General features: G+C 35.3%; 1 protein-coding gene and 1 pseudogene across 7 annotated transcripts in view, besides 1 other annotated feature; one reads left to right on the top strand and one right to left on the bottom strand.

Moving 5' to 3' along the window:
* CHIC1 (cysteine rich hydrophobic domain 1) overlaps positions 1–19,151 on the bottom strand; it is a 123,964-nt gene extending 104,813 nt beyond the window's left edge. For 2 of the 6 annotated variants that reach the window (NM_001300884.1, XM_017029582.2), the window contains exons 1-2: positions 18,719–19,151; positions 4,838–4,892 (exon numbers count right to left, since the gene is read on the bottom strand). In NM_001300884.1, the coding sequence (NP_001287813.1) occupies positions 4,838–4,892; positions 18,719–19,014 (351 nt within the window). In that variant the 5' untranslated portion in view covers positions 19,015–19,151. Of the gene's footprint in view, positions 1–577; positions 3,596–4,837; positions 4,893–18,718 lie in introns of those variants that run through there. The other 4 variants (XR_001755699.2, XM_017029584.2, NM_001039840.4 and 1 more) reach the window with 4 other exon arrangements.
* Positions 19,123–19,182: a silencer, noted in NCBI's record as "silent region_20905". NCBI's record gives its function as "represses an Ori minimal core promoter by ATAC-STARR-seq in GM12878 lymphoblastoid cells {active_cell/tissue: GM12878}" and the evidence as "EXISTENCE:reporter gene assay evidence [ECO:0000049][PMID:35858748]".
* The window catches only part of MAP2K4P1 (mitogen-activated protein kinase kinase 4 pseudogene 1), a 38,811-nt pseudogene continuing 37,354 nt past the window's right edge, over positions 19,214–20,670 (top strand). Inside the window, exon 1 of the transcript NR_029423.1 lies at positions 19,214–19,339. The product of NR_029423.1 is annotated as a mitogen-activated protein kinase kinase 4 pseudogene 1 (transcript). The remainder of the gene's footprint in view (positions 19,340–20,670) is intronic.

Below are 20,670 nucleotides of genomic sequence, written 5' to 3'. Positions count from 1 at the left end.
ATTACTGTCAACTCTCTTTAAATTATGTATCCAGAATAGCTAACATATTTTTAAATATGGTAAATTTTGATATAAACTCATGCAAATCATAAAATTATTAAATCTGTCCATTTACAAATTTAAATGCTTATAATTGGAATTTACATTTTTATTTAAAAAGTAAGTACAAACACAGATGGAAAAAAAATAAAACCAAAAGGTGCAGAAATGAGTCAGTCCAAAAGAAAAAAAAAATTGTTTATAAGGAGCCTTAGAAAAGAAAGCTCCACTTCTACCAGGGATGAAATAGTGTTAGAAGACTGAGGGAGACAAAAGCTAGAGAATAAAAGAGGGAAGAGAAAATAGCTTTTTATTTCAAACACTGTGAATAAAATAAATTGTATGTTGAGGTATATAAAATTTGTTATAAAATTTGCCTTTTATTATATGCTTCTGGAATTGAAAACAAAAACATTACCTAAAAATGTGGTCATTTTCCTTCTTTCCTGCCAACACTTTCTTCTTTTTAACATATAATGGTCTCAATTTCTATTTTCTTACCATAGACGAATTAAAAACTAAAATATTCAAGTTACTAAAAATGAGAATTCAAATTTTTTTTGAGGTCATAAGACAAATATATTGAAAAGAAAAGCTTTTACTAGAGTTTCAAACAATAAACTAAAATCTGCATTTTGACTTTAAAAGGAGACCAGGATTGTCTTTGAAAGAAATCTGTATCTGAGCAACAGTAAAAGTCATAAAACAGAGCTAAAGACATAAGAAGTGAGAATTAGTAAACTCAATTTTAAACAACGTGAAAGAAATGTTTAGTTAACTGTGTAGAATCAGAGTTAACATTTTACTCATTTACTTTCATATAATTGAGTGTCTCTAGCAATGAAGGTTAGACAGCAGAAGACCCTTACTTTCTAGCTGAACAGTAGGTTGTAAAGAAACATTTCATTTCTTTTGGCTTTCTTGGAATGAAAAAAGAAAACCACACCATAAAGGTGGGGTAAAGGGTCATAATATTTTATAACAGGATGCAAGAGACTCTGTAAACAGAAGAAACTCTAAGCAAACCGCAGCAGGACTGATCTGCCTTCTTCAGTCATGGGGAACACAACCCTATCAATCAGCTGTCATACTGTAACACAATAGTAAAGGTCGGTTTTTATTGCTTACAATCCCCAAACACTGCACACTAGTCTCCCCATAACACAGTTTAATTGTTTCAAGCTGAGGGCCAAAAGCTTTACTTTCTTTTCTAAATTTCTGTGGTTCTTCCCTTTTCTGGTCACTAGAATCTGTGTATATACATCTGTTCGATATGAAATAGGGAAAACAATCTTTTCTGCACTTAATATAAAAGGTCATCTTTTTGTTTGCATTAAAAGCATTAACACATAAGAAGCAAAAAATTAATATTGAGCTACAGAGCTTGTCAAAATGGTTTTTTTAGGTTTTCAGACTTCCCTCTGCAATTTTGCTTAGCTCAGGCATCAGGCAGGCATAAAAGCTATTTAGAATCACATTCATATTGGAAGACTGATTTCATAAAAGGTAGATTTTTTTTCTACTTTAGCTATCACAGTTATTCATTTTAAAATATTTTAATGTAAGAGCTGTTAAGTCTGGAATTTAGACCTTTTTTCTTTTATTTTTTTCCTCAGATATACATTAATTATGTTTGCCTTTTCTCTCCAGTTATCTGAGAAGCATTTTGATAATGCAAAGGAACCTAAACAAATGAAAGTGCCTGTCGGAGAAAAATTATCTCATTAATGAGAAAATGAATAAAGCTAATGTTACCACCATGTGACTTTTAAATCAGATCTTCAGAATTCCTTTTAGTGTTTTTCCCATCACCAAACACATGCTAAGAAAAATATCACAGTTATAATTTATGCCTTATCCAACACATGATAGATTTTGTACACTATACATAATGTACACTTAAATACTCAAGTCATTATGACAATGTGCTACAAAAACAATCACTTGAAAAGAATGGATATATTTATGAGCAGCTCATATCCAGATAATTTAGGTTGTGTGAGTGCATACCAAAAGCAGCTTATTATTCTTACTCCTCTAGTTTAAAACAGTCTACTACCTTTGGGGCCACTGGAATTTTTAGTTTCAGAAGGCTTGTAAAGAAATGAGAAGGTGTGAAAAGATATTCTGAAGATTCCTTGAGCATATAAAATTGGCCAATTTTGAAAATGGATAATTTGTATGCCTGGGAATTTTATACACTGACATATTTTTTTGATTATTCATTTCTAGAATTTCTTGGACCTGTATTTCAAAGCCAATGGTAAAGTTGGATATAACTACACCTACAACACATGCAGCAGCATCAAAGGAAACATGAAGAATAAGTTTTTTACTGAAGTTCTTATAATTCACATTCTCTTTAATTTTAATAATGAATTTGCCATCTTTCTACAAAAATACACTATTATTCAAGATATATTTCCATAGCTACTTTATTCATTTGAAAAAACATTTATGATTAATTCATATAAAACAAATCTAAGTATAGGCTGCCGCTTCAATTGGTAAATTACTCCAATTGATCAGGATAGGAAGGTAGAACGTACTAAAGAGTGAGCCAAAATCTCACACCAAAGGGTTCTTTGTGTCCTAAAATGTTAAATGGCCACATATTCTCTAAGGCTAACTTAGCCAGGAACTATGATCACCTGTTTAGTATTCTGTGAAATGATTTGATATTATACCTCAGGAGAGACAGAAAAGGTCAACAGTCAACAGAACAAATTAGTGGTGAGGCCAGAGAATAATAATGTATTCTCTTAGAATTAGATGAAGAAAATTTGCAAAAGCAATGAAAAATTGAAAGCCAGTGAGTAGAATGAAAAGCAACCAGGGTGAAACTACAATACAATGATGAAGAATAGTCAACTGCAACTACAAACTAACATTGGGAAGCTAATAAGTACATGACAAAATACTAGGAATTTTATATATGCTGTCTCATTTAGCTCTTAAAAAGTGAGGTAACTATCAGCATCATCTCTATTTTTCACATAAGAACAGGCTCAGAGAAGTGACTTGCACAAGGCCACACAGTAAGTGACATAACCTGGATTCCAACCCAGATTTGACTGCAAAGCTTGTTTAACTACTATATTCTGTCTCAAGCTACCTCCAATTTTTCAAGGGGAAAATGAGGCAAATAAAGTGTAACATACCTTGCAGGGTTAAATTAAACAGAATTTCTTATGATTTCAAAGATATTCCTTGAAAAAAGAAATAGGTCTGCTGTCTACCCTGCAAAGAGGCTGGGGGGAAGATTGTGATTACGCCAAAAGCAAAAAGAGTACATAGTTGGAAAATCCATGACAGAAAGAAGCAAATATCAGTAGAAGCATCTTATCTGGTTTTCAAAGAGTTTAGAACAAGGGACAGTGAATTAAGAAAAAATTAAAGTTCAAAAGGTAATATAGTCACATGGTTTAAAAATGAAAGCAATACTAAAAGATATCAGAAAAGTCTCATCCTTACCCTTGCCTCTATCCATCACATTCCTCTTCTCCCATCAAAGGTAATAACTTTTATTAGTTTCATGTGTATCTCTCTAGAATTTCTTTATGTAAAAATACATTTATTAATGGGCTTATTTCTCCAATTTATTATACATACTAAACACAGTGATTTTCATTTTGCTTTTCTCACCAACAATATGAGAATAATTGACACTACAATAGAATAAAAAGCCTGTTAGATAATGAGATAATTTTAAAATATGACCAAAATCTATACTGACAAATACCATTATTCTAGTACTAAAATTAAATATGTTGAATTTAAAGGCTCCAAAATACAAAAAGTTAACTTCCTTTAACCCCTAATCATGTTTTTAGCTATCCAAGCATTCAACTATTAACCATTTGGCAATGACTGAGTATTCTGTAATATAATGGTTTTTCTCTCCTGTTCTACACTTCCTCAAGTAACAAACGTATGTAAATAACTTTTTGCCTTAGGCAGAGCCTTCTCCTTTGGGCACAGAAAGTTCACATTATTGTCATAAGATGATCTTCCAAATATAGTTTCTTTTTAAAAATTGTATATATTTAAGGTGTACAACATGATGTTTTGATGTACATATACACAGTAAAATAATTATTAGTCAAACACATTAGCATATCCATCTCCTCACAGTCACCTTTTTGTTATTTTGTGATAACACCTGAAATCTACTCTCAGCAAATTTCCAGTATATAATACAATATTATCAATTATAGTAATCAGGCTGTGCATTAGGTCTTTAAATTTATAGTTTTGAATCCTAGTAAATCTTTGAATTTACTAGGAAATACTACTCAATGTAGAGGAACCAGGGAATAGAAAGGTATGAATTTATTACAGTGAGTCCAATCTTACCAACTCCAACTATCTAAAAGTCAGAAAAACATCTAATCAAAAATTTAATTATTTTCATGTATAACAAATCATACCATATGGTACTTTAAAAATTAATAGAGTGATACAGTTAAAAAAATAACTTTAACTCTAAAAGCACTGGAAATTAATGACCCAAATAAAAACAATTATAGCTACCTATGCTGAGAAAAAAAATGCAAAAGTGAAAAAGCTGAACGGACAAATAAATAATGGCTGGCATTAATGGACAATGAACAAAATAACTGGTCAGAGGCTGGTAGCCATGGCAACAGCTTTCAAACACTATAAACACAGCTTCCAACTACTGAGGCCTCCTATTACTTGACTTCATTAACAATGATTCAAAGCATTTGTCATAACAATGAGTAAGCCATAAAACAATGCTTTAGAACTGAAAAGTTCAAAGCAAATTCTCACTTACCTTCCCTGTTAGAACGGAGGGAAATTCAGTATCAAACTTGTTGCTCAAGCCAAACCTTCAAAACAAACACAGAACAAAATATGTTCTACCCAGCATACTTAAATCTTCCCTTTTTTTTAAAAAAAAGTTATAAACCCATGCATTTTTCTTTTGGCCTTTTAATTTAAAAATGTGCCCTGAAAAATTTTTATATGACATTTATAGAAAATAAATCTTTGATTATTAATCCAAACTAACATATTTTTTAAAAAGCTTAACAAAAAGCAAACATTAAAGTGGGATTCTAACTCAACTCATGATGTAGGATTAAAAAATAATAAGTTAGAGAAACACATATTGAGCTGGAAGTGTCCATTTTTAACTGAGATGTTTCCGTTAAAACCTACTTTAGTTGATAACTGTTGGAGCTGGATTATGGGTACTATGTGGGATTTCATTATACTATTCTTTCCACTTTTGTGTATGTATGCAAATGTTCCTAATAAAAACTACCCCTCCACAACTAATACAGCCTTTGGAACTACAGAGTTTGACTACTTGTGACCAGTTGCTATTCAGATACTCAAAGTTTAATCCTTATGAATGGCTTTCACGTCTGTGCTCGACCAATTTTGAGAAAACAGATCCCAGACTTGAAAACTCTCTTTTCCAGTACACTCAGTGAAATCTGCATTAAGAAGTCAAAATGAATTTTATAAGGCTTTGCTCACTTGCTTGTTCATTTCAAGGATAACAAAGGTCACTTCCTGAATGTTAGATGATACTATTTCATATTAACTACAATGTTACATTAGCGGAGGATAGGTTGTAAGCAAAAAGGAAAAGACAGTAACATTTACTGAGAACTCCATATGAGGTGGGCAATAACAGTAACAGCTACCAATAACTATGTACTCACCATGGGCTAGACACTGTGCTAAGTAAATATAGTCACATGCTACATAACATGTTTCAAAGATAGAGTGCATATATGATGGTGGTCCCATAAGATTATAATGGAGCTGAAAAATTTCTATTGCTTAGTGTTGTCATAGCCCTTGTAATGTTATAGTCATAGCCTTCATAACATCGTAGTACAATGCATTACACACGTTTGTGGTGATGCTGGTATAAACAAACTTACTTTGCCACCATAGCAAAGTATAGCACATATAATTACATACAATACATAATACATGATGATAACAAATGACCGTTACTGGCTTATGTATTTACTATAGTATACTTTTTATTGTTATTTTAGTATATATTCCTTCTTCTAACAAAAAGTTAACTGTAAAATAGCCTCAGGCAGGCCCTTTTAGAAGTATTCTAGAAGGTACTGTTATCACAGGAGATGACAGCTCCGTGATTATTGTCCCTAAAGACTTTCCAATGGGATAACTGTGAAGGTGGAAGTGATATTGATGATCATGACCCTGTGTAAACTTAGGCTAATGTGTGTGTTTGTGTCTTAGATTTTAACAAAAAAGTTTAAAAAGTAAAAAAAAAATTAATAGAATAAGGATATAAAGAAAATATTTTTGTACAGCTGTACAATGTGTTTGTGTTTTAAGCTAAGTATTATTACAAAAGAGTCGATGAGTTTCTAAAAATTGGACAGTTTATAAAATTAAAAAGTTACAGTAAGCTCAGGTTAATTTATTATGGAACAAAGAATAGCATTTGAAAATAAATTTATTGTAGCCTAAGTATATGGTATTTACAAATTCTACAGTAGTATACAGTAATATTCACATTCACTTACCACTCACTCACTCACTCACTCACACAGAGCAACTTCTGGTCCTTCAACATCTATTCATGGTAAGTGCCCTATTAAAGGTATACCATTTTTTGTCTTTTATATTTTCTCTGTACTTTTTCTATGTTTAGATACCCAAATACTTACCATTGTGTTACAATTGCCTATAGTAATCAGTACAGTCACATGCTGTACAGGTTTGTAGCCTAGGAGCAATAGGCTTACCATATAGCTTAGGTGTGTACTAGGCTATACCATCTAGGTTTGTGTAAGTACACTCTATGATGTTCACACAATGATAAAATTGCCTAACAATACATTTCTCAGGAGGTATCCCCATTGTTAAGTGACACATGACTCTACATTACTTTTACGCTTTAAAAGCCTTCAAGAGAAGTATTGTCAACCCCATTTTAAAGACAAAGAAGCTAACAACCAGAAAAAAATTTAAAAAATAAATTAAATGACTTGCCCACAGTCATGTATTAAGTGGGGGAAACCAAAACTCCAATGTTGACCCCCTAAATCCTTATTTTATCCTATATTAAGTTCCTTGAAAACAGGAACTATGGGTTATTTTGCTATTTTCTATTATACCTAGTAGCATAATGAAATCTAATCAGTGTTGAAAAATGTTTGTCAAATAATAAACTACTGTACTGTTTAACTGATTTATCGCACTTGGTTGTAGGGTCACTTTAAAGAAATGTTAAGAATCCAATGTCTGATTAAAACTCTATGCAGGACCTAGAGGAACTATGAAAACAAGAACAAAATAACCCCAGAGCTAGCAGAAGAAAATCTGAGACCCAAAAATCCATACAAAGAATCGATGAAATCAAAAGTTGGTTATTTCAAAGAATAAACAAGATTTACAGACTGCTAGCTAGAATAACAAAGAAAAAAGAGAAGATCCAAATAAGTGCAATCAGAAATGACAAAGATGACATTACAACCTATCCCACATAAATACAAAAAATATTCGTATAACTATTATGAACACCTAGCACACAAAATAGAAAATCTAGAGGAAATGGGTAAAATTCTGGAAACACACAAGCTCCCAAGATTGAATCAGGAAGATTTGAAGCCCTAAACAGACCAATATCAAGTTCCAAAATTGAATCAGAAATAAAACACCAACCAACCAAAAAAAGCTCAAGACCATACTGATTCACAACCAAATTCTATCAGATGTACAAAGAAGAGCTGGTACTAATCCCACTGAAACGATTCCAAAAAATTGAAAAGGAAGGACTCTTTCCCAACTCATCCTATGAAGCTAACATCATCCTTATAGGAAAAGCTAGCAGAGATAGAAGGAAAAAAGAAAACTACTGGTCCATATCCCTGACGAACATAGACACAAACATCCTCAAAAAAATACTAGCAATCCGAATCCAGCAGCACATCAAAAAGTTAATTCACCACGATCAAACAGCCTTTATTCCTGGGATGCAAGGTTGGTTCAACATACACAAATCAATAAATGTAATTTACCACATAAACAGGATTAAAAACGAACAAAAAATGATCATCTTAATAGGCACAGAAAAAGCTTTCGATAAAATTCAATGTCCCTTCATGATAAAACCGTCAACAAACTAACCATCAAAAGAATGTACCTCAAAATGATAAGAGCTATGTATGAGAAACGCACAGCCACCATTATACCGAAGAAGCAAAAGCTGGAACCATTCCCCTTGAGAACTGGAACAAGAAAAAAAATGTCCACCTCACCACTCCTTTTCAACATAGTACTACAAGTACTACTCAGAGCAATCAGGCAAGAGAAGAAAAAAAGGCATGCAAACAGGAAAAGAAGAAGTCAAACTATCTCTTTTTGCAGACAATATGATTCTATACCTAGAAAACCCTAAAGACTTGCCAAAAGGCTCCTTGAACTGATAAAGAAAAAACTTCACTAAAGTTTCAGGATATAAAATCAATGTAAAAAGTCAGTAGAATTTCTATACACCAATAACGTTTAAGCTGAGAGCCAAATCAAGAATGGCATCACATTTACAATAGCCAAAACAAAACAAAAACAAAATACCCTAGGAATACATCTAACCAAGGAGGTGAAAGATGTCTACAAGGAGAACTATAAAACACTGCTGAAAGAAATCAGAGATGACAGAAACAAATGGAAAGACATTTCACGCTTACGGATTGGAAGAATCAACAACATAAAGCAATCTGAAGATTCAATGCTATACCTATCAAACTACAAACATCATTCTTCACGGAATTAGAAACAACTATTCTACAATTTATACAGAAACAAAAAAGGACCTAAATAGCCAAAGCAATCCTAAGCAAAAATAACAAAGCCAGAGGCATCATATTACCTGACTTCAAACTATACTACAAGGGTACAGTAACCAAAACAGCATGGTACTGGCACAAAAACACACATAGACCAATGGAACAGAATAGACCACAGAAATAAAGCTGCGCACCTACTACCATCTGATCTTTGACAAAACTGACAAATCTGAGTAATGGAGAAGGGCCCCTCTATTCAATAAATGGAGCTGGGATAACTGGCCAGCCATATGCAGAAGAATTAAGCTGGAACACTACCTGTCATGATATACACAAATTAACTCAAGACGGATTAAGTACTTAAATGTAAGACTTCAAATTATAAAAATCCTAGAAGAAAACCTGGGAAACACCCTTCTCAACATTGGCCTTGGCAAAGGATTCATGACTAAGTCCTTAGAAGCAACTGCAACAAAAACAAAAATTGATTAAGACCTAGTTAAACTAAAGAGCTTCTGCACAGCAAAAGAAATTATCAATCAACAGACAACATACAGAATGGGAGAAAATATCCACGATCTATGTATCAACAAAGGTATAATATACAGAATCTATTAGGAATTTAAATAATTCAATAGGCAATAAACAAATAGCCCCATCAAAAAGTGGGCAAAGGGCATGAATATACATTTCTCAAAAAAACACATGTAAGTGGCCAACAAACATATGAAAAAATGCTCATCATCACTAATCATTAGAGAAATACAGATCAAAACTACATCTCATGCCAGTCAGAATGGCAATTATTAAAAAGTAAAAAATAACAGATGTTGGCGGGGCTGCTGAGAAAAGAGGACACTTATACAACATTGGTGGGAATTTAAATTATTTCAGCTACTGTAGAAAGCAGTTTGGAGATTTCTCAAAGAATCAAAAACAGAACTACAATTTAAACCAGCAATTCCATTACTGGGTATATACCCAAGGGAAGATACATTGTTCTACCAAAATTACACACGTGCCCATATGCTCATCGCAGCATTATGCATAGCAGCAAGGATATGGAATTGACCTAGGGGTCCATCAATGGCGGACTAGATAAAGAAAATATGGAACATATACACCATGGAATCCTATGCAGCCATAAAAAAGAACAAAATCATGTTCTTTGCAGTAACATGGATGCAGCTGGAGGCCATTATTCTAAATGAATTAACACAGAAACAAACAAAACCAAATACCGCATGTTCTCACTTATAAGTGGGAGCTAAACATTAAGTACACATGAACATAAAGATGGGAATAATAGACACTGTGGACTACATGAAGGGGGAAGAAGGGAGGTGAGTAAGGGTTGTAAAACTACCTATTGGGTACTATGCTCACCACCTGGGTGATGGGTTCAATTGTACCCCAAACCTCAGCATCATGTAATATACCTTTGTAATAAAACTGCGCATGTATCCCCCAAATCTAAAATTTGACAAAGAAAAAAAAAACCTCTATGCAGGAATTTCATACTGTCCTTGTATCATTTATGCTAATAACTCATTTTCAAGGACACAGGCAATTTTAAGCACAAAAACTCTCTATATTTAGCAGCTAGTAGCAAGATACATACCTGTACATAAATATACTATATTATGTATGTTTAAAATGTATTTTAAAACAAATTCTGTATTTTAAAATAGTCGAGTAAATAAATCAGCAATTGAAAAAAGATTTTAACTACATTTTAAAAAAATCCTTCATTAATTCTGTTCAGGTGTGTCAGTACAACATGTAATGAGAATATTATATGCAAATACATATTCCCTTTAAATCAATACATAGACACAAGAGTATAGCTAAACTGAAAACAAGATGGGACACCACTATGCATGAATTTTTACGGCAATCTTCATCTGCTTCTTGAGAAATTGATATTCTAGTATTAAACCTATTGTAATTATTTGCTAACTTAGCAATCAATAACAAATATTTAATATTACAAGAAATATTTCATTTAAATCTATTTAGCTAGTGAAGTAGTGACTTTATCACTAGTGAAAAGATGCAATTCATTATTACACGAAGAGTAAATTCTTATGTACAAAGACATAGATGCAGTTTTCATTTTTAGAAAGTAGATATGATCATTTTAAATAGACCTCTATTTCCACATCTTGTCTAAATGCCTTATAAATGCAACAACAGTAACATGTTCCTACCTTGATTAGCAATTGCTGCTAATTTAGCTTTTGCCAGCTGTCATTCCCCTACTAGATATCAAATATATAGTCAATACAGACAGATATATCCTTCAAAATGTATAGAATATTTTTGTTTTAAAAATTCTTAGCTTTACTATTCTCTTTTCACTTACCACCAGACAAATGAACTGTCCACTGCTTCCATTTCCCTAATATCTCCTTTCTTAAGAAATTTTGAAACTTGATTTTTGATACTGTCATTTTGCTGAAAATAATATCTTATTCAGTAAATTTACTCAAAATGACAAGTCCATCTTGTCTTCTTTATTGCCAAATTCAATGTCTTCTCAGAACTTTTTCTCTTGACTTTGTTTGCAGCTATGACACTGTTGATCACTTCCTTCCTAACATTCCCATTCTTTCATTCTGCCCTTAGACTCTATACTTCTTCCAAAATTTAGCTTTTAGTCTTCTGCTTTTTTTTCTTTCTAAGCAAACTACAAAAGTTCATCTGTATTTGACAACTTTGACAATCATTTATCTGTTAACGATCACCAAATCTATAGCTCTAGTAATATATTTTCATACATGCTCTGGTCTCTCATCTTTAATTGTATACTGAAAATTTCTGTTTGGACATCTTGCCACAAAATAATACCACCTTAAGTGAAACCTGTCTAAAACTAAATGTTACATTTTCTTGGAACCTGGTTCCCCCTTTCAAATTCATTTCTATCAATGGCACATTACTCTCTTCCTTTAACCTATACCTTGGTATCATATTTGCACCTTCCCTCTCCTATGTTTTGCATCTTGCTTACAGCCAGGTGGTCCCTAAATCCTGTTATTTGCTCCTTTGAAATCATTCTCATAATGTTCCCTTCCTTCATTGTCACTGCTACATTGGCTCTTGTCCTTGCTCATGTGGTTCTCCTTGCTTCCCCTCCAAAGTTTAAGTCTAAGTCCTATGCAGCCTTCAAGGCTCAAATCAAGTTCCAACCCCTGCTGTAATGCCTTGAATGCCCAAGGCTTCATGGATTCCTTCTTTCTCTGAATACTCACAGCCACTTCTAATGTGCACTATACAATTCAACAGTTAACAAAATGTTGTCTTTTATTCCTTGCTGCTCCATATCAATATCTTAAAGGCAATGTTCCTGTTAGCTTTGTAAAGCAAAGCCTATACTTTGTTTTCTCTATATTCTTCACAGTGTTTAGCCCAGTGCTCAAGTTCTAGAGAAATACTTGCTATATTCACATTACTAACTTTCTTCTCCAATATATAAAGGGATTTCCTTTTCTAAAATATAAAAAGTATATTAGAAATGGTAACTAAAGTGTTGCTTAATTTCTTAAAATACTCCCTTATGACCTAAATGTATCTATATAAAAAAGTATGAAGAAAGGCAAAGTAGGCTTGATACTCTCATAGTTTTGGCTAATAGGCAGCAGCAATCTTGTTCTTGCCTATGAGATATTTTTTCCCTTAACTTTCCCTTTTATAGACTCAGCACACTAAAAAAATACTTAAATAACTTTAGGTACATTTCACTTAGCAGCTACTAGGAAAATGTTGAAATGGCTGCTGCTGAATAAACACCTCAGTTAGGTTTCATAAACAAACCATTAAGTTAAGAATTATGAGTCCAGAGAGGCTAGACAAACTCATCTACTTATTACTGATCAGTGGTAGAAATTAGCCAAGATGTGGGGCTCAGCAGGCACTTGGGAAGTGCTCACACTATCATTTTATCAACTTCATTAAATATACAATCTACTGTATGTTTGAAGCCGACCCAGCTGGTAGTTCTCAATAATTGTATTTTCTTCATCAAATGTCTTCAACGCCCACATTTTTAATTTCTTAGACAAATTCTTTGAAGTAAAGGAAACTGAGGCAAAGGATCTATACTCTTAGTTCCTCTTCCCTTTTGTCTCCCTCCCTATACCTCTCACCATTTTTCATATTTGAAAATGGCTATATACCAGCCTTTCAAAATCTTGCACAAATTAAAGTTCACGTACTCAGTTTGTTTAAGAAAATGTCGTAAAATTCTGCCAATAAGACATGACTTCACTAGAAAACCATGCACTTATAGGAATACTGATTCTGAAGCATGTGCACTGAACTCTATTTGCTACACCAAGGAAAAGGCTATGCCACAAAACAAAAGGAGATTTTTAAAAGATTCTAGTTAAATCTCTTTAATATTTCATATGGGAAAAATGTCTTTCCACACTATACAATGGCAAGTTACCATGGCTTCAATATTCTCAAAGCCTAAAACCTTAAAAAAATTCACCTTATATAAAAACAAATTAACAATCATCACTGTAATTTCTCAGACAACTGTTACAGAAAAGGCATTCCATTCCCTGATTTGAGAAGTTATCAATATTTGTAGTGCTAAGTTTTTGGAGAAATGCACTGTTTGGCAAAATTGGCCATCTTTTTCAATTATATAATCTAATAACTTCAGCTTTCTTAGATTAATTTTAATGAGAATGTTATGAGCCTCTGAGGATCAGTAATATGCTGTCTCTACTAATTTTTATGCAGGTGTAATATCAATGGTAAACATCTATCTATTTTAAGTAATACAAAGAGGGTGGTAATGTCTATAAGGAAAAAACCTCATGTGATGTAATATTTTTTTCTGTATTTCAATACATTAGATCCAAATACTTATCCTAAAAATATCAAGAAGAAATGTGATACTGTTATATTATTCAGATGTATAATATTTTTGAAGCACAATACTTCCAAGAGACATTTCATTATTTCTCTTTCTATAGTCTCAAATCTGTAAGAGTTAATATAATCATATTTTTTAAAATTTGGAAAAAGATCTCCTAATATCCATTTATGATCATCATCTCAGAATTGGAAATACAAGTAGTATGATTAGGTCATTCTACTTCTTAAGAAATCATAATGAATTTCATGTTAAAAGATTAATATCTTGTTAAAGTAACTAGAAACCCAAAACATTAAGATAATACTCTGACACACAGGGGATAGCTTAACAAAGCTTTCAGAGGTAAGCTCATGCCATAAACGCCATCACTGGTGATACTGGTACTGGTGATATTGTTGTATTCGTACACATCCATGCTCAGAAACCAGTGCTCTCCACAGCATGATTCAACTACGTATTTGTTGAGGGCCTATAGTATTGTTTGTACTACGTGGGCACACTGAGTGTTACTAAAGTGAACCAATATTCATTCAACTCACCTCTTGTCAGGTACTGTGCTATGCACTGAGGATTCATAGGGAATCAGAAATTGTTCTTGTCATTGCAATTTACAATTTAGTGGAAAAAAAGAAGACTTGCAGAAGGTGGTGACATACAGAGAGCCAGGGAAATGGGAGCCAGGGAAACGGGAGGTGAATATTAGCATTCTAGGTGGAGGCCCCAGATTGAGCAGAGGCAATGAGATTAAAAAAAAAAACAGCATGCTGTGAACAGGAACATACAAGCAGTAAGGGAAATGGCAAAAGTTTAGGCTGATAGATACACAGGGTCCATTTCTGTATGCTCTGTTATGGAGCTTAGTCTCTATCTTGCAGGTGAAGGGAAAAACCACAAGATAATCTTAAGTAGGAAAAGTGGTTTGATTAGATATGTACTTTTTGTGTCTTAATCTAGCAGCAGGCTGGAGGATGGATGTGAGGATGACAAGGATGAAGGCAACATGACTAGCTAGGGTAGTGAAAGGGTCCTGAATCAATGAAGTGGTGGTAGAGAGGAAAAGAAGAAATTCTTAAGCCATGTATTGTTGATATTTGCTAATTGCTTAGCAGTGGGAAGTGTGAGTGGGGAGAACCAAGCATGCTTTAATGGGATAGGTGGAGGTACATTCAACTGAGGTTGCGAATACAGAAATAGGAAGGCTTTTTTGAGCATTTGGGGGTGGGGATATGAGAGGGGTGTCGGGAGGTTTTTGTTTATGTCAAATTTAAGATAACAGTAAGCTATTGAGTGAAGAAGCCCAGATAAGAGCCCACGCAGAGACTGGTAAAGAAATCCCTACTTGGGAGCCATGAGATAACTGAATCTATGAGAGGTAAGATGAGACCATCTAGGGAGAGCAGGGAATAAGAAGAGTAGTGGGCTGAGAACAAAACTCTAGAGATTGCTGGTATTTAAGGGTCAAGAAGGAAGAGAAGCCCATGAATGAACAGTTAAGAAACTGCCAGAAAAATAAAAGGAACACCAGGAGAATGAAGTGGCCAAGGAGTTCTGTGATTTTTTTGGCTGGCAAAATGTTTTTTCTTAAATTAGAATTTGAATACCATTAATTGAGACGTATAACTTTCAGTTCAACTAAAGCCCCATGTCTCCTTATGCTGCACTATTTTCTGTGACCTGCCTTGCCTCTGAAGGCCTGTGTGTTTGTGAACCCTGGAGTAGAAGCTTCTGAAAAAGAAGAAATCATCATAAGTGTCAAATGCAGCAGAGAGAACCTGAAGGATAGGGAATGAAAGATGTCCAGTAATTTAGCAACAAGAGGGTCACAGTGATATTAATTAAGGATAGCTCCTCTGTGGTTTTGGTAGCAGAATCCAGATCAGAGAGGGGTAAAGAGAAAACAGATAAGGTAAATGTAGCTACTTTTTTAGAAATTTGAAGGATAAGAAAGAGAGATTGGATAGTAGCTAAAGGGAACATGGGCATAGGAAGGCTTTTGTCTTATTTTGTTTTTTAAAAATTAGAGACTGAATATGGGTACAGGCTGAGAGAGGTAATACTGGAGAGATGGGAGGCCTGGTTGAGCAAGATCTGGGAGGAGGCTGGAAGAGAAAGGTATGGAAGGCACAAATGGACAGGTGAGCATTGGACAAATGGAGGGTCTCCTTGAACTCTGAGATTGAAGGAAGATGGCACAGAAACTCAGAGCTAATTAATATCCAATGCAGGTTTTCAGCAGGAAAGTGACATGATTAAACTGTGTTTTAAGAAAATTAGTTTGGCACAAGCACACAGGATGGACTGGAGTAGGGAGAGGCAGCAGACTGTGGCAATAAGTCAAGCAGGAGATGATGGCAACCCAAACTAGAGTGGTGCCAAATAGGAATGAGAAAATGAAAAATCTAAGAGATATTTCAGAAACTATGATGATATAATTCTGGGGCAGACTGACACAGGGCAATTCAAGGAGAAGGAAGAGTCAAAATGACTCAAAGGTTTTGAATGTTACCCTGGGAGATCAGAATGGTGGCATCAAGGAAAGAAATGAAACAAATGAAAAGCACGGGCAATGTGGAGAGGATGTTGAGCTTAAAATATACTGAGTTTGAGGTGAGGGCTCTCAAATTTTAAACTTTGAGAAGAAACAAAATGCTCTATACAACAGAAGGCTGCACAAAGAATGGAAAAAAATCAGGGCTGGTAGAGAATATTAAATATTTCATTCAGATAGGGTATATAGTTTAAGGCAACTCTAACACTCCTATGCCAGAAAAAAAATAAACAGAAGTTGATATTTTAGAAGTCGCAGAATAAGATTACCTACTTCATAAGGATATTACTTTAACTGATAAAAGGAAGGCTTCACTACCATACAAAGACCCATTTCTCAGATCCAGTTAAATTTTCTCCAAGACATGTAATCTCTTTCAAATCCCAAGACATTTAATATCATATGTGATTTCTAGGTATAAGAATGTGTACAACAAAACTAAATAAGTTTCCAAAGTATATACAATGGTTAGTGAGTCTAGTACTGGTTTGCTTCTTTTCAGGTTTTGGTTTCAGTCAATGAATACCAACAGTACTACCCGCATGCTCCTAATTAGAAGGACATTATACCAATCAGAAGGGCCTGGGCATGGCAAGTGTCAGTGTTCTTCTAATGAAGCAAATAGGTTGGTAAGTACCTGTGCAGGGTCGAATGGAACCATAAATAAATTTCAGGTAACTTAAATTTTATTTTCTTGTTCCTTCTCCTTTGCCTGAATTTTGCAAATGTGGAGGTGGAATGTTGGAGTATAAAATTATGGACTAAACGGTCATGTAACATAATCTGCATAAAAGTAACCTTTGGTACCAGCCATCATAATTAGTTTGAGTAATAAATTGTCTCCCTAGTGACAAAAGGAATGGAAGTAAAACCGTGCAATAAGTTGGCATCTGAATATTGTAGGCTATCTGCAAAATTCTTGGACCAAGAAAAATTGTCTTAAAATTTCCTAATCAAAAAGCAGCTCTAAAACCCTCCCCCAACACTTCCCCAATTTCAAAATATTTGTTAATATATTTGATGCAAAGATTACGAAAGTATATTACAATTAAAATACTCAACATATCACGCCTGTAGTCCCAGCTACTCAGGAGGCTGAGGCAGGAGAATTGCTTGAACCTGGGAGGCAGAGGCTGCAGTGAGCCAAGATTGCGCCACTGCACTCCAGCCTGGGCAAAAGAGTGAGACTCTGTCTCAAAAAAAAAAAAAAAAAAAAAAACTCAACATGTTAAAAATTGAAGCTAATATAAGGGAGGTAGCATATATATGATTTAATGTAACATGAACTCAATTGAAAGTCAAAGGGACTAGGTGAGCCATTATCAAAACCAGAGGCAGCATGACATAACAACAAAAGGCAACCTATTTTGAAAATGCAGTAAAAGATAGCATAGTTCAGAGGATGAACATGACACAGTACTCAAACTTCCAAATAGTTATGGTCCAAGCAAATAAAAATGAGGAAGCACTCTTTAAATCCCGGAGAATCATCAACATTTTTGCCTTGTAGCTGTTATGAAGTCCCTCCCCATTTTATTTTCTGAAATATTCAATTTTTCCTCAAGATTTCAATTTTTTAAAAAACCACCCTGGATAAATTTTAAAGAAATTATGCTCAGCTCCCAAAGTATTAATTTCCATATATATTTAATGCCTGTATATTTCATACTTGGGCATACAAAATCCCTTGGAGGTAAATTATCTCAGAACTGAAAAGCTTTAGAAACCATCTACTCCAAACCCTTCATTTTAGAGATGAAGAAATCAAGGCGCAGAAATGAGAAAAAGCAACCTGACCAAGGTCACAGGGCCAGTAAGAAGCAAAACCGGGACCAGCGTCTAAGAGCCCTGACTCAATCCATTTCTTTTTCTACTTTCCATAGCTGCCTCTCATCCTGAACCTCTAATCGAGTGATATATAAGGAAGGATTCGATAGGAAGAATGGATGGATGAATACGTGGGTGAATGAACATTCTATTATTATTCACAAAATATATCATGTTTCTGTTTTGAAGAATGCAAGCCTAGTTCTTGTCACATGTCACAGCAATTGCTGTTTCCCACAAAGTATCAATCTTGTCAGCAAAAAACCCTCTGGTACATCCTGCAGTTTAGAGACTGTTCACTTGCCAGCATACATACAAGAAAGGAGACTCACCCCTACTCCAATCGCTCTGGCTCCCAAACCCCTAACTTCCCTCTCCTATACTCACTCTTTACCTGGCATTGGTGCATCATATTTACATTCTCCTCACTTCCTTCACACGTATCCACCCATGGTTTCCCCATTTAGACCAGGTGTCCTTTCCTAAGTGTACGCCTCAGTCAATCAGTCAACCCTCCCCCACTCCACAGGCCCCTCGATCACTTCTCATTCCTCTGTTGCCAAATCTCAGGCATTTCAAGTCCCAAGACCCCCTCTCGCTTACACAGTGATGTGGCCGGCACCCCGCACTAATACAGGGTCGGGAGCATATCTCCGCAGATGCTCCTCGCTCACTACCCGAGGCGGGGGCGGCGCTTCCTCCTCCTCTTCCTCCTCCTCCTCTTCTTCCTCCTCCTCCTCTTCCTCCTCTTCCTCCTCATCCTCCTCGTCATCGTCGGGCCCAGATACCGACGACGACGACGACGGCGACGACGACGACGTTGCCGCTTCTTCTTCCTCCTCCTCCTCCAGTTCCGAGATGGTGTCGAACTCCGCCATGTTGGGCAGCAGGATGCTCATCACGTGACCTCGCGATCGCCGCCACGCTCCCGGAGAAGAGTTTGAACCTGCCGAGGTGCTGCAAGAGGAGGGGGAACGAAATGAAGAGAAAGAGGAGGGGTGTAGGGACAGGATTTGAGGAGACGCGCCTGCGTGTTGGGCAGACGGGGGGGTGGGGGGGCGGCTGCTGGAGGCGGGGGCACTAGAGAGGAGCAAAGTCAGTGTACGCTTGCGCAGCTCCAAGGGGAGGGGGCCGCTAGAGGTGAACTCCAAGGAGTTATCCAGGTCCGGTCTGCGGGTGCTCGCCTTAATACTGCTCTCTGAGCGTCAGCTACTTGTATTCGGGGTATCTTCTGATTTTATTGCTTATTAATTAATGCTGGGCATTATTAACCCAACTGCAGGCGGGTGAGAGAAAGCATATTGTATAAAAGTAAGGTTAGAACTTTGTCCAAAATATCTCAAGGTATATACCAATCCCTTACGTTTGTTCAGCATTACAGTTTAAAAGCCTTGCGTCATAACTTTGCCACAATCTTGGGAGGCAGGGTAAGCACTTTTATTAGCATTTTACTTAAGAGGAAACTTTTTACTACTTCTCCTATGTAATACTTAACGGAGGACTTATTAACTCAGGGACTGTGCTAAGTGCTCTGTATGTATATCTCATTTAATCCTCTGCAACCCTATGAGGTATGTATCATGATGATTTTATATTACAGATGGGAAATCTAGGTGCAGAGAAAATAAGTAATTTGTCCAGTGTCAGGGAGCTACTAAATGGGAGACCTGGTTTTAAATTTGGTGGTCTCTTCTGATTCCAGAAGCCCAGTACTCTTAACCAAAGGGCTGTACTGCCTGAAGTTGTTTGGAAAGATTTTGTAGAATGGTGCCTCTTGGGCTCTTCCTTAAAAGATGAATCAGAATATGCATGTTTGAATTTTGGAGTGTTTTTTGGGGGAGGGGGCGGATGGAGGGGGTGAAAGGAGCATTCCAACCTAAGGAAACCTTAATTAACATCATCCATTTTCCAGACACTGAGCTAGACCCTCACATACAATATTTCAGTTAACCCTTAATCCTGAGAGGTAAGTATCATTATATCTATTTTATTACATGACAAAAGTGGGTCTCAGAAGTTTAAGTAATTTATTCAAGTCTATGGTGACCTTTTGTTCAAAATTTTCCATTTTAAATGGTCTATCCTATCTTCTTTACACTCACTAAAATGTTGTGGGGATCACATATTTTGCGTATCTAAATAGTGTGCCAAACTGTTTCATACTTGGCAGCAGCACAAAAATCCATATCATTAAGACAGTAAAGTCACACAGCTGCTAAGTAACAGAACAAACACTGTAATCCAGGCATTCTAATACCAGCTTCACTGCTCTTTCTGCTACTCTACGGCTGCATCCCAATCAGATGGTGTGTCTCTGGGGAAACAGACATAGTCAAACTTTAATTTAGGATGAGCACGACATTATCAGTATAAACAAAGCATTTAATGTGTGTGAAGTAGGAAGAAATTAGTTCTGTAAGAGAAATGAATCAAACCATTATCATCAAGGAGTATGTGTTATTAAAATGAAAAGCCCATTTTTATTCAAAAGTTGGTTTATTTAGGGAACTTTAAAAATAAGTCGGAGATCGAGACCATCCTGGCTAACAAGGTGA

The sequence above is a fragment of the Homo sapiens genome, chromosome X, assembly GCF_000001405.40.
Source record: "Homo sapiens chromosome X, GRCh38.p14 Primary Assembly".
NCBI lineage: Eukaryota > Metazoa > Chordata > Mammalia > Primates > Hominidae > Homo > Homo sapiens.
The sequence above is the reverse complement of the archived record's forward strand: the minus strand, read 5'-3'. Positions and strand labels throughout refer to the sequence as shown.